The sequence below is a fragment of the Homo sapiens genome, chromosome X, assembly GCF_000001405.40.
Source record: "Homo sapiens chromosome X, GRCh38.p14 Primary Assembly".
Taxonomy (NCBI): Eukaryota; Metazoa; Chordata; class Mammalia; order Primates; family Hominidae; genus Homo; species Homo sapiens.
This window is the reverse complement of record NC_000023.11, coordinates 91,792,888-91,814,138: the sequence shown is the minus strand read 5'-3', so window position 1 is coordinate 91,814,138 and position 21,251 is coordinate 91,792,888. Positions and strand designations below refer to the sequence as shown.

The following is a 21,251-nucleotide window of genomic DNA, read 5'->3' as shown; positions in this document are numbered from 1 at the left end:
ATATATCTTGAAACTCTGTAATCCAGCACTGTGTTGAAAATATTAAAGCAAACACCTCACAAAATCAAGTGCATTTTGAAACAGTATTTGCAACTAAAATATGTGAACTATGGCATCATGATTTTGTCCTGAAAATAATAAAAATTTGACATCTCTAAATTTGATGACTTTAAAATAAAAAAGATAATTAAAACCTGTTACAGCTGACAACAACATTGCACCTTCATAATTTTTCACTAAGTACAGCTGCTAATTTTCAAGAGGAACTGTTAAAGAGAGATTTCACGTAAGAACTGCTTCTCCTCTCTATTTTTATTCAGAAGAAAAGGGTTTTTTTAAAACAAAGCATTTCCAAATATATTATCTATCCAACCAGTACTTTTTTTGTGGTCTACTTCCACGTTTTTATGGTGTTGAAAAATAAGTATTCATTATTTTGATAAACATTATATATAACAACCAAACCAAACCGATAACAACAACAACAAAAACTGAAAGCAAAAAAACTATGTTTATTACCTTTCGAAATCTATAGAATCTAAACTCTGAGGCCTAGCATTCAAGGTCCTCAATTAGCTGCTTCTAAGAAATATCTTTCTCTTTAATTTATAATCCATGACCTCTCCTCTTCAGCCGAGCCAACATCTACTCTCTAGCCATAATATTTTCCACATCTTCTCTGGTCATCAAAGGTCATCATCTACTTCAGAGCAATTCAAAACTCATTTCCTCTAAGAAATTTTCAGATTAGCATCACATGGGGAAAATTTGAATAAGCATAAGAGTAACGATAAGGTTAAATGTAAGTGCTTACGGGATTTGTGGTTAAAATATGACAACTGAGGTGATGGCAGTCAGCAAGAAAAAGTCTTAGAGCAATCAGTTTTGTTTTTTTTAACTTTAAAATGGAAACAAATCTCATCAATATTCAATTAGCATATTCCATTACTCGTCAATTTTTCTTCCACTCCTTAAAAAGTACACAGAATATTGTTTTGAACTGAATGGGCTGAATGTCTTGTTGAATAAGAAATTTTCACCTTGGCTTAATTTGGCTTTACTACCTGAATGTTAATTTTTTGTATCTCCCCTCTACTATCTCAAGTTCTCTTAAAACCAAACCTGGTACAAATAACAGGTCTATAAAATGTGGTGTATATATAATGCCGCAATAAAGAATAAGATTATATTAAACTGTCAATGATTAAGCTACAGACTGTTTTATTCATGGCAGTTTGTAAATTTAAGTTGTTCCTAAATATGGAAATAATGTGATGAGTTATATTCCAACTACCTGCAAGGGACTTGAATAATTTGGGAAGAACTGCGAGGCACAAGGGGAAACTGGTAGGAGCAGAGGATATGGAAAAGACTGCAGAGAAAACTTGGAAAGGATGAAGGTATTAAAGAGAGAAAAGGGATGATTGAGAGGTAAGGAATGATTTTGAGCATTGAGACGAACTAACAAAATAAGAAGTACTCATAGAGTCTGAGCAACAAGCTGTTATGAAAACTTAACTGGGGAAAACTATGGTGACAACAAAGATGGAGAACTTAAAAACTGGGTAGAGACTTGGAAGAATTATAGACACACAAAGAGAACAGGGAGAAATCTGGGAAAACTAACAGAACTGAGAATGACTTCAATGAACGGAAAACTTGAAGGAATGAAAGGTAGAGGGAGAGGATGGGAAGATTTACTGGATCTGGGAGGTCCCAGGCACCATAAAGAGTGGATTTATGTACTTGGAGAGAATGATGGAAGTGACAGAGGAGTAATGGAGGGAATAGAAGGGAACAAGAAAAAGAATCATGTAAAAAGTTGTTTAAATCTTTTCTTCTCTAAAGCTTAAAATGTCTGAGAAATTTAACAGTGATTAGAACTTTTAAGAGATTTCTTCTTTGAGCAATGTCAAGGGGAACATATTTCAGTATCTTCTGCCACATGGACAAGAGAAACTGAGAATGAGTATTTGTGACAAATAATTTAAATATATTATTTTTAAGTGTATTACATTATTGGAGTATTGTGACAAAGTTGTGGGGGTGCACTGGAGTACACGCTAATCACTAAGTGGACAAACTTAAATGATTTTTGAATAAATCAAAACCTCCCAAGCAAGAAACTGAACACTACTTCTAAATTTGGTTTAATTAAATAGAATCCTAAACATTTTTTATTCATCTAAATGGAGATTTGGGGGGATAGCCTATTAGTTTATTAAATCAAATCATATTCCTACAAGTGCAATAAAGTCTATATATTTATTCATTAGAATACTCTCTTGTTTGTTAGTTTGGTGTCTATTTGTAAAGTATGTTCTGTACACCACGCATTGGAAATGCAAAACTGAGGAAGAACAGTCTCTCTACCTAGGGTGCTTGTAGTATTCAGAACAAGTATTTGTTCTGAAAATAGGCACTTCTGGAATTTTTCAGTACACTGATAACTCATGGTCCTAAAGACATCTTTGCACGATCCAGAGGGGCCTTTACAACTTCATTGTTTACCGTCAGTAAACTGTCAATTCTTTAGAAATTGTCAATCCACGGACAACATGTGTGGCCATCCAGGCCAATCCAGGTAAATTATGCTTACTATAATTTGTGGGATTTTTGTTGTTGTTGTTTTACATCTCTCCCTACATGATATCAGTATATTGGAATATAGACTTCCCCTTCCTCTCATCCAATCTCACTGTTAACATTTTAAACTCAAAACAAATCTTTTAAGAAAATGAAAGCTTCAAACATGAAAAATTGGAGTTCAGACAAAATTACTACTCCTGAAAAGACCCAGAGGAAAGGAGACGTATATGATATTTAATATATATGAAACTCACCTTGAAATATCTGAATTAAAACCCACTGTCGTTCAGTCCTCATAGTGCTCTGCAATCAGCTGTTGAGTGGGGGATAAAAAGAGGGAGGGGAAGAAAAAGGTCTTTGCCTCCAGTACATTGTAATCAGTTTAAACTTAAATGAAATAGATGCACTGAAAAGATAGGGCTTCAATAACCCAAATGCTGCACTAGATAGGAGGTTCCATGGCAGGACCTCAGAGTGCTGTTAGCAGCAAATCATCCAGGATTCTGAAATGTAGGCACAAAATACTTTTTGAATTAAAACTGGAGTGAAGTCTCTGCTATCCTTATTTGTCTGCTAATGAAAGCTTAAATAAAAACACCCTCCCCACCAACTGCTATTATTCCTTGGATCATTATAACAGTTTTATAAACCTAACACATAAAATTGATAATCTGCATAGGCTTATCAAACAGTAGACAGGATAGATTCAAAGTTTTATTTATATGGAATAGGTGTGATCCTAGCCCCATTGGCTAGTGGTATTTATTTCCTGACTGAGGAAAATGGTTATGCCTGCCTTGAACGGCAATCACATAATATACATCACTAAAAATGCTTGATTACCTACATATCTATTTCAAATTTTTCAGTTATGAACCTGATCTTAGCTATAATGCCTCTTGTTATCAATTCATACTCTCTTATGCGGCAATTTCTAATTCTTTAAGGAGGATAGCAAAACATTGTCTCACCCAAGCTTGTCAGCTTCTTCACAAGATTACAAAGTTGAGAGCAGCTGAGGCAAAACCTCTCCGGTATGTGATCTGTGGAATCCTTCTTATTCGCAACAGGATTTTCCTATGAGGGGTAAAACACTTTCAGTTGGCTTTCAAGAAACCACAAATCTAAATTAAACAAGTAGGCAACACATGACAGAGGGCCATCATTTTATGGCAGGATCCTCCAATTAGCTGTAATGGCTACAAATCAAGAATAGGTTAAATATTTCTGAATAATTTTAGATTTTGGGAAAAGGGAAGCAAAGAACATAAAGATTGTGTTTTATGATCTCATAAATCTCTCTTGGATTAAAAAACAAAAAATCCCTGATACTTTGGGAGGTAGGGTATACTGGAAGGTATTTCTTAGCTTTAACAGGGAATAAGCTATTAAAATTTTTGAAAAGCCAGCCTAGTCTGTTGTATTCTTATTCTAATTAAGCCAGACTTGTTAAAGCATTTAATGCATATTTATGTGGAAAATATGACATCTTCCTACCTACATGAATTATTTTGAGTTTTATATTATCGATGTTGCAAAAAGTATGGATTAAATGAAAAGTGATAATAATGATACTAATATAAATCTTCAACTTTGAGGGGTAATTGCTTGTATTATAAATGGCTATGAATCATACTTTTTATATGGGAAGTGGTAATCCTATGCCTTATTATTTGTTATTATGATCTCCCTCGAATTCCATAGACGTGTTTCTCTCATCCATTCCTCCAGCAAAAATTTCTAGAGCAGTACTATCCAATAGAACTTTCTGCAATGATAAAAATATTTTATTAAAATAATCTGCATGGTCCAATATGGTAGCCGCTTGTGCCTATTAACCACTTGAAATGTGGCTAGTGCGACTGAGGAATTAAATTCTTAATTTAATTTAATAAATTAAAATTTAAATACTCACATGTAGCTAGTAGCTACCATATTCAACAGCACAGTTCAGAGATACTTCACATTCTGTATTTTATTTGGAGTATGCATGAATTTACTTAAGGAAAATGTGTTTTGTTAAGATATTCCATCCTCTTCCATCCATTCATCCATCCAGTTGATCTGTACTTTTTAAGCACCCTCTGTGTATAAAGCACATGTTAAGTTTATGTAGTGGGGGAGATAACACAAGATTTGTAGAAGATAAATATTATACTAAATAGGCTAAGTGACAAAGGACAGAGCAAAGTGATATGATAGTACCGAAGAATGTGAATACTTTGAGGTAACGGAATTAAGAAGAGGTTCATGAAAGAAGTAGCTCTTTAAATGTTTTTGATAAATAGCTGGAAGATGTAGGAAGAAAGATTGGAAGAGTAAGAGATTGCAAGATAAAAAAGTCTAAAGTTTAATCTGGAATGTGGGTATAAGGAAGAGGAAATAGTCCAAAGCTTTTGAAGTGTGAATGACTGAAGAAGTTAGTGCCAAGAACAGATAAGGCAAAGACAGAAGAAGAATATGTTTTATAAGAAAATGTTGAGACTAAGTAATATAATTTACTTTAATCTGAGATTTTATAAGTTACTTAATTATAAAAGTTACTTGCGATAAACTTTAATTACAAATGAGCTGAAATTGTAGCCATTAAACAAACCTTATACGTTAATTATAATTTTACTAAAGATAAATATGATCAACGTGGAAATAAGATATGCTTAAAGAGACTTCTAGTAAAGGATGAGCATTAATCATCTATTTAACCTTCCATATTGGCTTCTATATTTAAAGACTAAAGTTTAAGACAGCTACCGTAAGTGCAGATAAACACAAACATACATGAATTTTCTCTTACTTTCTGTATACAATTATTTGGGCAGTGCCAGATAACCTAAATTTTATTATTTTTTTTCATGTCCCAGGGGAGTGCCTTAAATACTTCAGCCACTATTACATTTTTTATTAATCTAGAAGCAAAGATCAAAATACTTTGAGAAAGTAGATATCCTCATAATGTGATGTGGATAGCTAATCAAATGCCATAAATATAGAACCTTAGTGATAGATTTATCAATGACCAGATCCATCACACATTCCTCTCTTTTTTTTTTTTCTTGAGACAGAGTCTAGCTCTGTCGCCCAGGCTGGAGTGCAGTGGCATGATCTCGGCTCACTGCAACCTCCGTCTCCCGGGTTCAAGCAATTGTCCTGCCTCAGCCTCCTGAGTAGCTGGGATTACAGGCACCCGTCACCATGCCCAGCTAATTTTTGTATTTTTAGTTGAGACAGGGTTTCACCGTGTTGGCCAGGCTGGTCTCGAACTCCTGACCTCATGATTTGCCCGCCTTGGCCTCCCAAAGTGCTGGGATTACAAGCATGAGCCACTGCACCCAGCCACACATTCCTTTTGAATATACATTTATTAACAACTGTGAAATTTGAATAAAAGTTAATATTATCTACAGAGATCTTTGTTATTTTTGCTTTGCCTCTGTGGATTAATGTTTATTATTTTGACCAGAAAATCTTTCTTTGCAAACAAAGGAAGAATTGAATAATGTTTCCATAGTTTGAGTAAATAAATTTTAAATAAATAATCAGGTATTTAATACAAATACATAATCAGAAGAGTGGGAGATAGTTAGGGTTATATCTCTGCCTTTAATAAAGACCAGTCCAATAATGGGTTAAAGTTATTTTTCTAGCTGAACCTTCATCCCTGGATCGACAGAGCTAACAGATAAGGGTGTTATTTCTTTGAAAGTAATAATGAATTCCATAAATTTTATTGAAATAAGTGTTTTTTCCCATTAATGTTTATCATAAAAAATTTTTAATTGAAAAACTGTAACCCTTTATATTTAACATTTTGTGAATCAGTCAGATGCACTTCATGACTTAGGGGCTACAGCTATGTTAGTATTTTTTTCCTCCTAGAATGATTTATGAGGAACAAGAGGTCATGAACCTCTTTTGAACCTATGAATACACAGTTTGCTAACACATAGATTCTAAAATTCTGAAATTTCTGATTCTAATAAAATACCTCTATGAATTTGGCCACCCAATAGAATGTTGGTGGGTGAATTAAAATACTACTTCACCAATATTTCTCTCTCTCTCTCTCTCTCCCCCTCACAGACACACACACACAAAACCATCCTCATTAGTTGATTCAAGCTTATTGATATTAATTTGTCAATTCCAGTTGCTGCCTTAGTTATTGATTCTTCCTGTTGACCTTTATTTATTTTTAATTTTTTTAGAGACACGGTTTTCGCTTTGTCACCCCGGTTGAAGTGCAGTGGCACGATCATAGCTCACTACAGCCTCCAACTCCGGGGCTTGACCAATCCTCCTACCTCAGCCTCCCAACTAGGACTACAGGCACACATGAACAGACCTGGCTAATTTTTTTTTTTTTTTTTTTTTTTGTAGAGATGAGGTCTTTCTATGTTGCCCAGGCTGGTCTCCAACTCCTATTCTCAAGCCATCCTCCCATTTTGGCCTCCCAAAACACTGGAATTATGGGCTTTCAGCCACTGTGTCCAACCCCTGTTCACCTTTATATCGATATGGTTTATGGAGATATTTCTGTTAAAAGATAAACTACTTGAATTTTGTTCAACTTAGAGTTTTATTTCACAGCCTTTCCCTGATCCTTAGAATGCATACATCTATAAGACCACATCTTTGGCATTATTTATAATAGAAAAACTTTATCTTTATTCAGATTTTGCAGAAACTATGAGTAAAATGTCTACTTTCTGCTGTTGTGTACATTTTGCTATGTGATGGCGTAGATACAGTCAATAAGGGAAAACCACAAGGAATATCGACACTAGCCCCTGTCAATGGTAAGAAAGTTTCTGAAGATTTTTTTGTTGTTTTTCCTGCACTGACTAAGTATGGTCAAGTACCACATTCCAGTTTGCCTGTTATCCCTCCATCAGCGTAGGCCTAAGCTTAAACTCAAATTGTAACTTGCATACGCAAATTTAATTTGCATAGAAAAATTGAGTTTTTCAGTGAGACTAAAATTCCCATAACCAGGGTGTCTTATTAATTGAAAAGTGATAGGAAAACTCCCACAAATGAAGTAACTGTAATTTACACTCCTTGTGAGTTATCATCTTGAGAAAAGTTTCTTTTGTAGTTTCAGATTTCTGTGGACTACAATTTTTAAACAGGTGTACTGTGAAGAATATAAGAAATCTCCACTTAGAGAATTTAAGATGTCTAAGAGAATTGTCACAACCGTGAAAGGTGAGAAGCATCAAATGCCCTTTGTCCCCTTTTTAAAGAAACAACATTTTCTAGTGGATATCAAACTCTTTAAGTGGAGGTGTTTTAGCACACACAAGACATTCCTTCACTTTCATTTTTTTTTATTCTAGCAAGTTTTATTTTTGGCATACCTCAAGACAGGAAAAAAATGAGTATTTCTTGCCAATTTTCAAAAATTAGCAAATCCTTAAAATATTCATTATAAATAGATCAAAACATTCAGCCACATGCTATTACAAAGGCAGTCAATTTAAACCAAGTTTGACTAGCAAACTTTCTTCTCCCACACCCACTTTTACAGTCCTGCTGATCTCCCTACTTTATAGTCCCTTATTCACATAAAATATACTAGATTATTTAAGAAAAAAGTCCTAGGCACTTCACTTATCCAGTATCACCTTCATATTAACAAATATTATTTTCTTTTTATTTGAGGTGGGTAAGCATTCTATTTATTTGGCCCTATATCTTTTTTGTCCTAATCACTTATTTTAATTTGCAACAGGCTCTCACTCTGCCACCCAGGATAGAGTGCAGTGGTGCCACCATGGCTCACTGAAGCCTCTAACTCCTCAGCTCAAGTCATACTCCCACTTCAGTTTCCCCTGTAGCTGGAATTATAGGTGCACGTGTCACTGTGAGGAGCTAATTTAAAAAAAAAAATGTTTTTTGTAGAGACAGGGTCTCACTATGTTCCCCAGGCTGGTCTGGAACTCCTGAGCTCAAGCAAGCCCCCCTGCTTTGGCCTCCCAAAGTACGAGGATTACAGGTATGAGCCACCGTGCCTAGCCTAATCACTCATTTTAGTGTGAAACTACTCTAAATATATGAAACTGGTAAACACTATTGTGAATATGTTTCTATTCTAACATTAGAACCTTGGAATATTAGAAATTCCTTTTTGATATGTTACTACAAATACTGATTTTAAAAATACACGCATACACATACATGTATGCATGTATAATATATATGAGATATGCAATATCTAGATGAAAAGGGTCTAGTGTCTAGTTTAAAGAACGCCAGAAGATTGGATGATGAATTTCCCTTTAGGGAGAAACTGAATTCTGGATCTGAAACTTGTATGTTTTTTGTATATTTCTGTATCTTGAGGGACTAAAATGTTTCAAAATGGCTACTACATTTAAATATGTTGAAGTAAGGAATTTTTAAATAGATCACGTGAATAGAATTAGAAGTGGTTGTAGAAAGAAACTTAAATCTGATCATTATCCTTTACATTCACAAAAAAAGTCCTTTTTAGAATAAAGTGTGGTATATTCATTGTTCTTTAATATACCACAAAGGGAAAATGTAACTTCTAGGAGTCTTTTTGTCACTTCAGTTATCATAAATGGAAATGAGTATTTTTCCTGACCATTTTACTATAGGTTATATTTACCAGTTTTCCAAATTCTCTGATTATATCATGTTGAAAAATGAAAGAAGAACACTATTCTTGGATTTCTCTCTAAAACTGAGTAAAGTTCCTCTGGAAAATTATTCTTTCTAAGTAGGATGAAATAATATTTATTTGGCTGTCTTTTATCATGACATTTTATCACATGCCTATTATTATATGAACCATTTTTAAACTTTCATACTTAAATTACATAAATATCTAATGGTTCAAAACTAAAATGTTTGTAAATATACAATTTAACAATAAATAATTACACTTTGAACTATACCCTCTCTGACCTAATAAAGTGATCAGTTTAAAAATACAATACCACTTTTGTCATAAAAGCAAAGAAATCCACAACTTTTATACATGTTGATTGAATAGTCATTTGCAAATGATGAAGTAACATTTATTTAAAGTAGCATGTATTTAAAAATAGAATTTCCTCAGAAATACCAGATTCCTCAGAAAAGCCAATAAATACATTACTAAAGACTGTATAAACAAAAGTTAAAATTTTAATCTAATTAATTATATTTTAAACAGTCTTTATTTTTTTCTCACTTCCTCTCCGGTTAATTAAAAATGACCAGAACCACTTGAAATATAAAACTGCCACTTCATATTTTGTGGCATTATTGTAAATAAATCATATTCTCACTGACCAAAAAAAATTTCCATTAAAATGGCATATTTTAAGGATACAATATTCTTTTAATTAACTCGATGATTTTTTAAAATGTTTAATTTTGCTAAGAGTTTGAAAAGACTTTTTGGTAAAAAGAGAGAATGTATCATGTTAACATTGCTTAAGCTATTAAGAAACAATATTCTTTATTTGTAGACTACTGTTGCCAGCAACCCACCAATACAAGAAGCGTAAAACTTCCACAATTTAGCCAACAGTGGGGATTATCTCTATCCCTATGTGATTGAAAAAATGTGGGAAAATTCAGTTTTCTACTCAGGCTATTTGGATTCCTGCTGCCAAGATCATATACACACTAGCAAACTCCTGCAAGTCCTAATCCTATTAAAAATATATATAAAGGAAATACAGATCCATGTTTCTGCAAATTACTATGCTGACAAATACAGTGATTCACTAAGCAGCTGGGGTCATCTTAATACAATTTCCAAAGAATGTAATCAGTTATTAGAATAATAGTAGCTACCATTTATTGAATTCTTATTACATGCCAAGAACTGTGCTAAGTGCATTTAATACAGCAGTCTTATGATATATGCACTGTTATTGTGACTTCCGTTTACATATGAGGGAATTGAGACTCTAAAAGTTTCAATAACTTGCCCAAGGTCACAGACCTATTAAGGTATACAACTAAAATTTGAAAGAAGATTTATATGAGTCGAAAGCTTAAGCCCTTAGCTACTACACAGACTTTAAACAATACAAAATATGTTTATTTTTCACTTACACTAACATAAATAAAACTTAGTAAAGTTTTGGAATCAGAATCTAGATTGTAATTATTAAGGACATCACCCAAAAAAGAGCTCTTCTGTTTGAAATCCGAGTTTAGAAAAAAAAATGAAAAAGATAACTGATGGCAAATGGCTTTAATTTACCTTTTTCTCAGGAATCAAATTTTGCAAAATTTCTGATAATGGGATAAACAATTATACGGAGGCTTCATTCCGTATGTTTCTATAATCCATATTAAATTGCAGACACAATAAATCTGCAGAAACAAAAAATGCTAACATTTGATCCAAATGCCTATCTTATTAGAAAAATGCCTATTCATTCAATAAGTAATTGAATAGGAAAATAGATTTACTTGATGCTACATTTCATTGAAATTTATGTTGCATAATTGGGTAATTTGTACTGAGGCATTAATAGAACTGTGTTTCATTTTTCAGGAACTCATATTAACATTAAATCGGAAGTCTCAACTTTATAAACTGACTTTCATTTGATCTTAGCCAAAAGGCTGAGAAGTGATCAAATCTCACTTCGTCCAGAAGTATGCATTATTCATAAAGACTTCTCCAACACTAATTTTTACTTAAGACTAAGTAATTGTCCGGACAAATCTGCAGATGTGAGGAGAAATTCAGAAGATAGTTCCACTGATAATTATGATTTTCTCTGTTTCAGTACATCTGAACTGTGACCTTTGTTTACTGGTTGAAATAGATAAAATTACTGATATTTAACCAATTTTGACCTGAAAAATAGAAATTTCATGTAGTCCGACTTCATATATTCTATATAGATATTTAGTCAGACTTTCCACTAATATGCAATTCTCCATACAAATCACTACATCAATAAGTAAAGATTTATTCCAAATATCTGGGAAAAGCACAAAACTAAGTGTGCAGGAAAAATTATTTCATGCAGGTGGGCATTAATAAATATATGGAAATTATCAGAATGTGTGGGCCTTCTTAATAATGTAACTTTAATATGGGGTGAGGAGTAGGATGTTTAAATATGCAAAGATAAATTTCTTATTTGAGAGCTGTTAAAAGCACAGCAGACAAGACAACGTGTGGTGGTGAGAAGCAGGAAACAGGGGATCCAAAAAGGTGTATTTTAGTCAACAGAATTAATTGATCTAAATTATGTGCAGCATACTGTACTAGCATAGGTAACCGTAACTGTGAAGAAAAAATGACAAAAGACACACAAATATGAGCTGAGAGAGAATCCTTTTCTAGTATCTACATAAAGAAAATTGCCCAAATTTAATTTGAAAGATTTCCCCTGAGGGGGAACACAGATTGCCAACAACAACTTAGATAGACATGTTACTCCATCTTTCCTAATGTGTGCATGCAGATGCATGTGTATGATTGTCAGCATTGCTCCTTAAACATATAGAACGCTATGAAGGACAGGAAGAGTATCTGCCCCACTTGCCGTAAGGGCAGTTTCCTGAATTATTTCAGTGAAGCATTTTCTCTCGAGACCAATTCTTCAAGAAAGTGCATTGATAATGCATCAGTGTACTTTCAAATCAGTCAGGATTTTATTGTTTCATTTAAATAAAGTTATTTAATATATGTTGGCCTTTCAGACTCTTGCCTCTCCTAAGCATCTTTCACATATACTGTCATCTAAGTGTGACTGGGAGTCATATGTAACACCTGGAGGACTGATAACAAATGCCATTTTTAATACATTCTGAGAGCTTGATATTTGGAGTCTATGATGAATTCATTTACACAATGAAGAATCTTTCTGCAAAACAAATCATTAGTAATTAATACTGCATTCATATCATGTATAATTTCAGCTTTAATGTGAAAATATTTCTAGTTTTAAAATATGTAATTTATCTATATGAATTCACTTTGTGTATAAAGTGTTTTAAAGTGTTTATATCACTCCAAAAATATAACTTTCACTAATGAAAGAAAAGTTTACTTTATTCTGGAAAATCATGCTTGGCTATTTCCTTCCCCTTGAATATAATCAAAGGCAATCTACTACTTCCGTGCAAATGTTTTTCAAACAGTTTCTGTTGAAGAAATCTCCATTATTCAGGCACAATATGCAGCCGATGTTACCTTTTGTCTGCATTATGACTCAAGACCCTCTTTTTTGTTGACTAACAAAGGCAGAAAATGAATACTGCTGTTTAAAATCCTTTATGTTTCCTTTTAAATTCTTTTGAGTTGAATAAGTAACTTCCCTTCTTATTTAAATCATTTTACTTGAAGCCTAGATGGGATAATAAACTCTTTTTTTTTTTTTTTTTTTGAGGCAGGGTCTTGTTCTGTTGCCCAGGCTGGAGTGCAGTGGCATGATCATGGTTCACTGCAGCCTCCACCTCCCAGGCTCAAGTAATCCTCCCACCTCAGCCTCCAGAGTACCTTGGTCTACAGCCGCATGCCACCACACCCAGCTAATTTTTTTTACTTTTGGTAGAGATGAGGTTTCATCATGTTGCCCAGGCTGGTCTGGAAATCCTGGGCTCAAGCTCTCTGCCCCACTCCACCTCCCAAAATACTGGGATTACAGGCCCAGGGCGCCCAGCAATAAACCTTTTTTTAAAAAACAGCATTTCTATGTTTTAAGTAAAAATGAATAACTTTTGAATGTAAAATAAATATCCCTAATATTAAATGTAAGCCATCAAGTATCTTAACATGAATGATCAACTGAATATATTTATTATAGGGTTAATTTGCCTTTGGTTTTGCCTTTTTTCCAAAGTCAATGATAGCAGTAGAAAGGGTCTAAATTTTCAAAAGAAAGCAATTGCTACCTCACCTGCTAAATGGAAACAACCAAAACTAGGTACATGAACATTAAGTTAGACATAGAAAATCATTTTAATTACAGCAAAATAATCTATTATGTATCATGTTTGTTCCAAACGCTAAGAAAAAATATCCATAGTTTTCTGTGTTAATTTTGTCAGACAACATTTAGATATACAGTACATCAAAGCCTTATTCTCCTAGGCATATATCCTTTTACTGTGCATCTCCAAGACAATTGAGGGCTAAAGTCAGAGTATGGGGCAAGCAGTTGCCTTAAAGAGCCAAAGCACATATTCCTAATTGTACGTTTTGTTTTTACTTTTAGACAAAGAGATGCTTAAAAACAGAATAATAAAGGAGATTTTCAAACTGATTATTTTTTGACATAGATGCCTACTTGTAGAAGAATGGAAGTAGAAAACAGAGTGAACTGCAGTAAAATATTTAATCTTTCAACAACTTACTTTATGAAGAAAGAGTAGTGAAAATTCAATGGAAGAAGGAAAAAAGAGAGTAGAAGGAAAAGAGAAAGTGGAGAGAAAATGGAAGAGTGTGAAAAGTGTTATGTAAAAATATTTTCTTTTTGAGACAGAATCTCTCTCTGGCGCCCAGGCTGGAATGCAGTGGCGCGGTCTCGGCTCACTGCAACCTCCGCCTCCCGGGTTCAAGCGATTCTTGTGCCTCAGCCTCCCGAGTACGTGGGATTATAGGCGTGTGCCACCTCGCCCGGATGATTTTTGTATTTTTAATAGAGACGGCGTTATGCCATGTTGGCCAGGCTGATTTCGAACTCCTGGCCTCAAGCGATCCACTCACCTCGGCCTCCCAAAGTGCTGGGATCAATTACAGGCGGGAGCCACCGCAACCAGCCACAAAAACCTTAATGAGGTATCAGTTCAATCTCCCTACTATCAGTTCAATCTCCCTACTTATTTATTTACTTATGAACACATATCAGTGTTCAGTGTTTATGATAATTTATGAATATAAATGTTTAACATCTAGAGCCTCACACCTTTCAGTTCTACTCTGAATAATACATTTTTATTCAAGTTTTATCACTCACTTGCACAGTCAGACAAGTTGTTAAAGAGTCATTATTTTTATTTCACAACCAGGAAACTCAGTAGTTTTGCAGAAATTCATAGTAAATCAAGTGAAAGGCCAGAAATCTACTTTCTTTTGTGAATCTTTAAACAACCTTATCAAGCTCATTTATATCATATATCACATTATACCAAAAAAATGTGTTTTACTGTTCATAGCAAACAGTCTCTTAGTAATCATCTCACACTCACTCTTGTGAGCCTAGTACAATTCCTCAATAGACATGTGGTCTTTTACTTAACAGAATTAGGTATGTTTGTGATTTATTATTAATTGAAGGATAATAGAAATTTTATCTATAGATACACTTTTTTTAATGTCAGTGAAAAAAAAGATTTGTGTTTAGGAGGTCATGGATTTAGTTAAAACCTCTATTCAACTTTGTGGAATATCCTAAAATTTTAATTTCAATTATGCATGTATGAGTTTTTTCAAGAGATAATTCTGGAAAATAGAAAATATGGAGTAGGTAAAAAATAAGCTATTCAAAATCTCTGGTGAAGGGTAGGGTTTCATTAAGTATTAGCTGATGATATAAGGAAAACAGAATAAATGTGACCTAAGTCTTCATTTCTAAAAGTATGTTTTGAATATAAACATTTTATGATTTATTATATAATTTCAGAAATTATGTATATTATATATATTAAAGGAAGAAATAATCCACGTCTGAGTAAAATACATTCCAACAAGAAATGAGTTCTTACAACCTCACTGCTATGTAGTGGTAATATATCCTAACAGCAGGAAGACAACCTAAGTCCTACAAAAATAGGTTGTTTTCTGTGAAAAGTAGAATTTTCAAGTAACAAAGTGATACTGAATATTAGCAAGAGAAACATAATTTCTAAACATTATTAAAAACAAATTTCTATTTGTCTAGATCCACTTTGAAGGCCATTGTGTATCATATATTTGTAAAAGTATCTGTGTACTTATATTTTAAGAAAGTGATTCTACTGATTTTTTTTTTTTTTTGAGACAGAGTCTTACTTTGTTGCCCAGGCTGGAGTGCAGTGGCACAATCTCGGCTCACTGCAACCTCTGCCTCCCTGGTTCAAGTGATCCTCCTGCCTCAGCCTCCTGAGTAGCTGGGATTACAGGCGCCCGCCATCATGCCTGGTTAATTTTTGTATTTTTAGTAGAGATGGGGTTTCACCATGTTGGCCTGGTTGGTCTCGAACTCCTGACCTCAGGTGATCCACCTGCCTCGGCCTCCCAAAGTGCTGGGATTACAGGGGTGAGCCAACACGCCTGGCCTGTAACACTGTGTTTTAACCCCCGAGGGGAACACCGTTCTTGGAGGTACTGCAATACCAGGTCAATGTGTGGAGTGGACAGAGCATGCTCCTATTCCATCTCCCTGCTCCAAAAATCCATGTAATATATTGTCCTCGGACAGAGGATATATCAGATATTAAACTGATAGGAACAGATACTACACTCTATCTTAGCCAAAAGGCTGAGAAGTGATACTGATTCTTTTTTTTTTCAAGTTTTTAAAATATCAAGTTAAGAAAAAAAGCATAAAGCTTAGCTACTAGAATGAAAGTCTAGTTGGGCAAATTTCTACCATGCTGTTTCCTTGTCTGTACTTATCAAGCAAATGCATCTGTGTTCATCTATGTTTTTGTTTGTACTGCATTTGCATCATTATTGCATGATAATAGTTATGAAGAAAATAAATCCAAGAGAAGATATTTTAAATTTCGACTGACTTCTGATCAATATCTTTGACTCATAATATTCCATTCTGACTAAATACCCTAAGGATATGATTAAAGAATAAGGAATTGCTGCATTTTAATTGTCTTAAGTAGAAATATAGAGTGAGTTTTTTGGACAATAAGGCTAATGTCCACATAAAAATAAAACCAGCAGTTAATTTGGAAGAAAATCAGTTAAAATAATTGATTGATTCAACTAGATGTATTATGCAGATGGATTATAAATAAACTCAATTCTCCCTTTACGGTTCAAACAAATGTTATTTAGTTATTTAATGCTGAGAGACATTTTATCCCTCCAGTATTTATCTCAGTATTATGAGTCAGGATTTCTGAACAGAGACTAGAATTGAAAGTTCTTATTTTAACTTGAGATTGTCCAAGCAAATCCATTAAAAATCAAAACTGTACATGCCTCTAGATCAAATCTGTCAAATTTCTAATACAAGTGAAACAAAAATGCAATCATCTTTGATGAGAAAGATCACAAGCCATCTATAATTTTAATTTGCTTAAACTCATTATATAATCTACAACAAAAGTAGAATTATCAAAGGAGAAAATCTAGTTTTAAATTAGACACTTAAAGTGTGTGTGTTCACATTCACCAGGCTGTAACTGAATTGTTAACGACAGGCAATTTTATAGGTAGAATATTTCTCCTACAATTAAGCTGTCCAGAAGAAAGAAGAAAAACCTTAATATTCAGTTTAACTGATGTACTTTTATGTTTCCTCAAGGCACGGTGTTCTGCACTCCTAACACAGTTAATAAAGCTGAGAAATGGATATAATATGAAACATTTATCTAAAAAGAAATTGAAAAGTTTATGTGCATAGTAATTATTAATATAGTTAAATGATATTTCAAAATATAAACAAAAATACATTTATATTTCGCATTCTGGTTAAAAATCTGGACTGTGAAGTGAAAAAGATGTGAGTGTGATCCCTGATGGGGCCATTTACTGTCTTTGTACATTTAGGCAAGTCTCAATTTCTATATTCATACCATGGAAATAATTAGACTACCTCCTACTTCACAGAGGCACAGAAGTAGACATCTAAGATATAGATAACTAAGGATTAATTTGTACCAACTATATATATAATGATTATCCAGTATGCAAAATGTAATTATTTTGGTAAATTTGGCATTGGTATTTTAACCATAATCTTTGGTTCAAAATGAACTTGGGTTTTTCAGTTATTGTGAACTTGTTACTTTTAATAATCAGTTTATCAAGTCAGCTATATCTAGAAGAGATAAGAAAATGATATTGACAATTTTTCTGCCCTTTTAGTCCTTTAACAGTTTCCAACTTTACTTATTTGTCTTCAGTAGCTTCTGAATCAAGGATATTCTTTCTCATTGAATTTTTTCACCACATTACTAAAATTTCAAAATTTATCTATATAGTAGTTTCAAAATAGTTATGCAATTAAAAAAACTACACCTAAAATTTTCTCTGAAAATTAAAGACGTTCAAATTATTTCTTAAAAGAATTTACTCTAAAAATGTATACTATGCAGTAGGAATACATGGCTCTGGTAGAAAAGAACACAAAAAAATTAATAGACCAATAACTATGTTAGATCAAATGCTGTCTGTTCACAAGGAAAATCTTTTACATTTTGGAAAAAAAGATAGCTATGTAAGATAAATTTTCATTCAAACAAATATAACAAGACTAAAATATAACTGAGGTTGCTGGCTTTTATACTACTTCCTTGCACTTAACCAAACTTGTTAATTTATATTTTGAGAACAGCATGACCTTTAAAGGTATGTTTGCTGAAGAATAGTTTACAACTCCATTCCATTAATCTATTAAAAGTCTAATGTGTTAGACATTTTTAGCAATAGAGCAAACACCTTTAAAATATTTGAAATGGGGCAAATATTTATTTTTCTGTAAATAAGCAAAACATAAGTTCCATAAATTGGATGATTGGTATTGTTTATGGAACATTAAAACTTTACCTTAATGTATTTTGGGGTCTTAAGTCATAGGGACCTGCCACTAAAATTAAGATGACTATAAAACTGTTCTTACAGTATTTCTGCAAAACAAACTTCTTGGATTCAAGAGAGATCTAAGTTGCAGTAAAGTATTATAGTGATATTTCCGTAAAATTTAAAGTTTAAATTGTAGCATAAAACCTCATGTAGGAGACGTCCCTAACATTCAAGAAGGTAAATGTTATAACATATGTAACATTGCTTTATAAAATTTAAGTTTCATTCAGAAAATTAGTTAATGAGTTAGTATTTTTATGTCTTTAATTTGTTGAAAAAGAGTCACCATTTTACTATTTAACACACATTAGTTTGGTATTTACCATTCAAATCTATAACCAAAACTAGTTTTAACACTGGACTATTTTGGGCTATATGATCATTATACATGTGATTTAAAAAAATGTACATAAGCCCTTTTACTGTGGTGAAAGATGTGACAGGACAATATAGTGAAAAGCACACTGACCAAGCAGACCTAAATTCCATTTCAGACTGCCACTAAGTTGCTTTTGTGACCTTGGGCAAGTCACTTCAAAGGGAATGGAACCTTCTGGAAAACACACGTTAAGTCAGTAGGTGTAACTGTTCATAGCTCATAGTTAAACAGTATTTGTGTTTTAAGTTACTTCCAAAAAAGCACAAGTTATGCACAAAGACAAAAAAATATCAGAAATGACCTTCTGTATTAGTCTGTTTTCACATTGCTGATAAAGATATACCCAAGACTGGGCAATTTACAAAGGAAAGAGGTTTAATGGAGAACTCACAGTTCCACGTAGCTGGGGAAGCCTCACAATCATGGCAGATGGCAAGGAGGAGCCAGTCACATCTTATATAGATGGCAGCAGGCAAAGAAAGAGGTTGTGCAGAGAAACTCCCATTTTTAAAACCATCAGATATCATGAGACCCATTCACTATCATGAGAACAGCACAGAAAAACCCGCCCCTATGATTCAATCATCCCCAACCAGGTCCCTCCCACAACACGTGGGAATTATAGGAGCTACAAGCTGAGATTTGGGTGGGGACACAGAGCCAAACCATATCACCTTCCTAAGTAAAAACAGGAAAATCAAATAAACTAGAAATTCCAGGTTATTATAGAATGCCTAGGGACATGCATTTCACTACAATAATTCCTACTTTCTTCATTTGGAGCCACTAATAATGAGAACAGAATGAATACCCCAACAGCAAACAAGTATATTTTCATCAAAACATTGCTAGTCATGATTTACCTCAGTGTATTGCTAATTCAGTAGAATCTGAATATCTCATCACAATTTGTATTTTTTTCTGCAAAGAAATGTTATCCCTAACCTAGATTCTATATCTGAGAAACATTTCCTTTCTTTTCCTTCCTTTATTAAAAATCTCAAATCACTACATAATTCCTAGGTTAAATTATCTACCACCAGTAACTCAGTCTACATGGCAATGGTGAAAAGCTCATGGAATCTTAAGTTACTCCTAACTAAATTGACGATGACTTTAGGCAAGCCATTTAGCTAATCTGGACTAGCTCAATTCTTCATTTGAAAAACAGAAATGGACAAAAGAAAGGGAGGCTAAAAATGTCTGCTCCAGCTAATCCACAGGGTTGTTTGAAGTGTTAAATGGTTATATGTAAAGGCTTCTTTCAAGAAAACATTCACGAATAAATATCACCTTTATGTAGAACTGTAGTTTTAAGGAAACTTTACAAAAAGGATAGTGTTTTTCTTATATTCAGTGGCACTTCAGCACAATATGTGTCATCATTTATATTTTTAAGTCTACTAATTAACTCATGGTATTCACTAAAGAAACTAAACAGGGTTTGCTTCTCTAACAGCAAAATATATTTTTGTAACAGTTTCTAATAATCTAGTTCTTCCAATGGAAAACAAAGTATGAGCTCAGTGGATAAAACTATTCACCCCACATGGTTAACTACTATTACAGAACTCTATTACGGAAATGCTTGAATGTAATTCAAATAAAATTAGAAACTTGAAACCTACCAAAGTTCTGTGATCAAGCATTACCAGTACTTAGCCAGAGTAATACACCTTAGTGTATTATTAACAGTCTATATCTAAGCCAACCCATAGCCATAATTTTCCTTTTTGCTCCCAAATACTCTCCCTCTAGACCTATTATTTCAAATATTTTTATCTTCACAGAGAAGACAATCCCTTGAAGTTTGACTCTGGTTTCCGAAATTATTTGAAAATAGAACCAAATCCTAATTTTGTTTTCCAACTTAGTATTCCTTTCTTGTTCAATCTGATAACATCCTTATTTCCTAGTCCACTATTGACTACTGTATAATTGTATAGTTATGTTAATACATGTTTTAAATTACTAAAGCCAGGGATATTACAATAGTTTTGCCGAATAAGATTCAAAAAGTGCTCACTGAAACTTTGTAGTACAAATTTAAAACTCCTAAAAAAGTAAATATAATATATTCTAAATTGTTATTTAATATATATCCTTAATTATATTTGAACCTAATAAATTGGTGCATATATTAGCTGATAAAACAAATATTATTCCAGGGATAAGAACAAGGATCTATTATTGTCTCTGACACCTAAAAGGTATGTGATTTTAAGAATAGAAAAACTTGTCTTGCCTCTTTCCTCATATGTTAAAAATATATAATATATGCAATACCTGTTTCACAGAACTGTTGTGAGATTCAGATGAAAAAAAATCTGCCAGAGTACCCTAAAATGCAATGAAAGCAATTTAAAAGTGATAATGTAATTATTTACATAGTAAAATCTGTGATATTAGTGATATTGCTTTTAGTAGTTACTGCAAAGTGCTATTTCCAGTATTTTGTTTAGTTTTTGTGTTAAGTTTCATGATAAATCTGCTTTGATTTTTAGTTTACCTGTTTCAAAAACTTAGTAGTTTCAGTTACAACCAAAGCATGTT

General features: G+C 33.2%; 1 protein-coding gene and 1 pseudogene across 7 annotated transcripts in view; both read right to left on the bottom strand.

The window, feature by feature from the left end:
- Positions 1–21,251, bottom strand: part of PCDH11X (protocadherin 11 X-linked) — an 843,856-nt gene that overhangs the window by 809,092 nt on the left and 13,513 nt on the right. For 5 of the 7 annotated variants that reach the window (XM_011530911.3, NM_032968.5, XM_047441993.1 and 2 more), the window contains 3 exons: positions 4,505–4,673; positions 3,561–3,666; positions 2,844–2,902 (listed from right to left, as the gene is read on the bottom strand). The exons of 1 other annotated variant lie outside the window; for it this stretch is intronic. In XM_011530911.3, coding sequence (XP_011529213.1) covers positions 2,844–2,886 — 43 coding nt within the window. In that variant the 5' untranslated portion in view covers positions 2,887–2,902; positions 3,561–3,666; positions 4,505–4,673. The remainder of the gene's footprint in view (positions 1–2,843; positions 2,903–3,560; positions 3,667–4,504; positions 4,674–21,251) is intronic. One more of the 7 variants, XM_011530910.1, reaches the window with a different exon arrangement.
- Positions 15,859–16,046, bottom strand: RNU2-26P (RNA, U2 small nuclear 26, pseudogene; annotated as a pseudogene).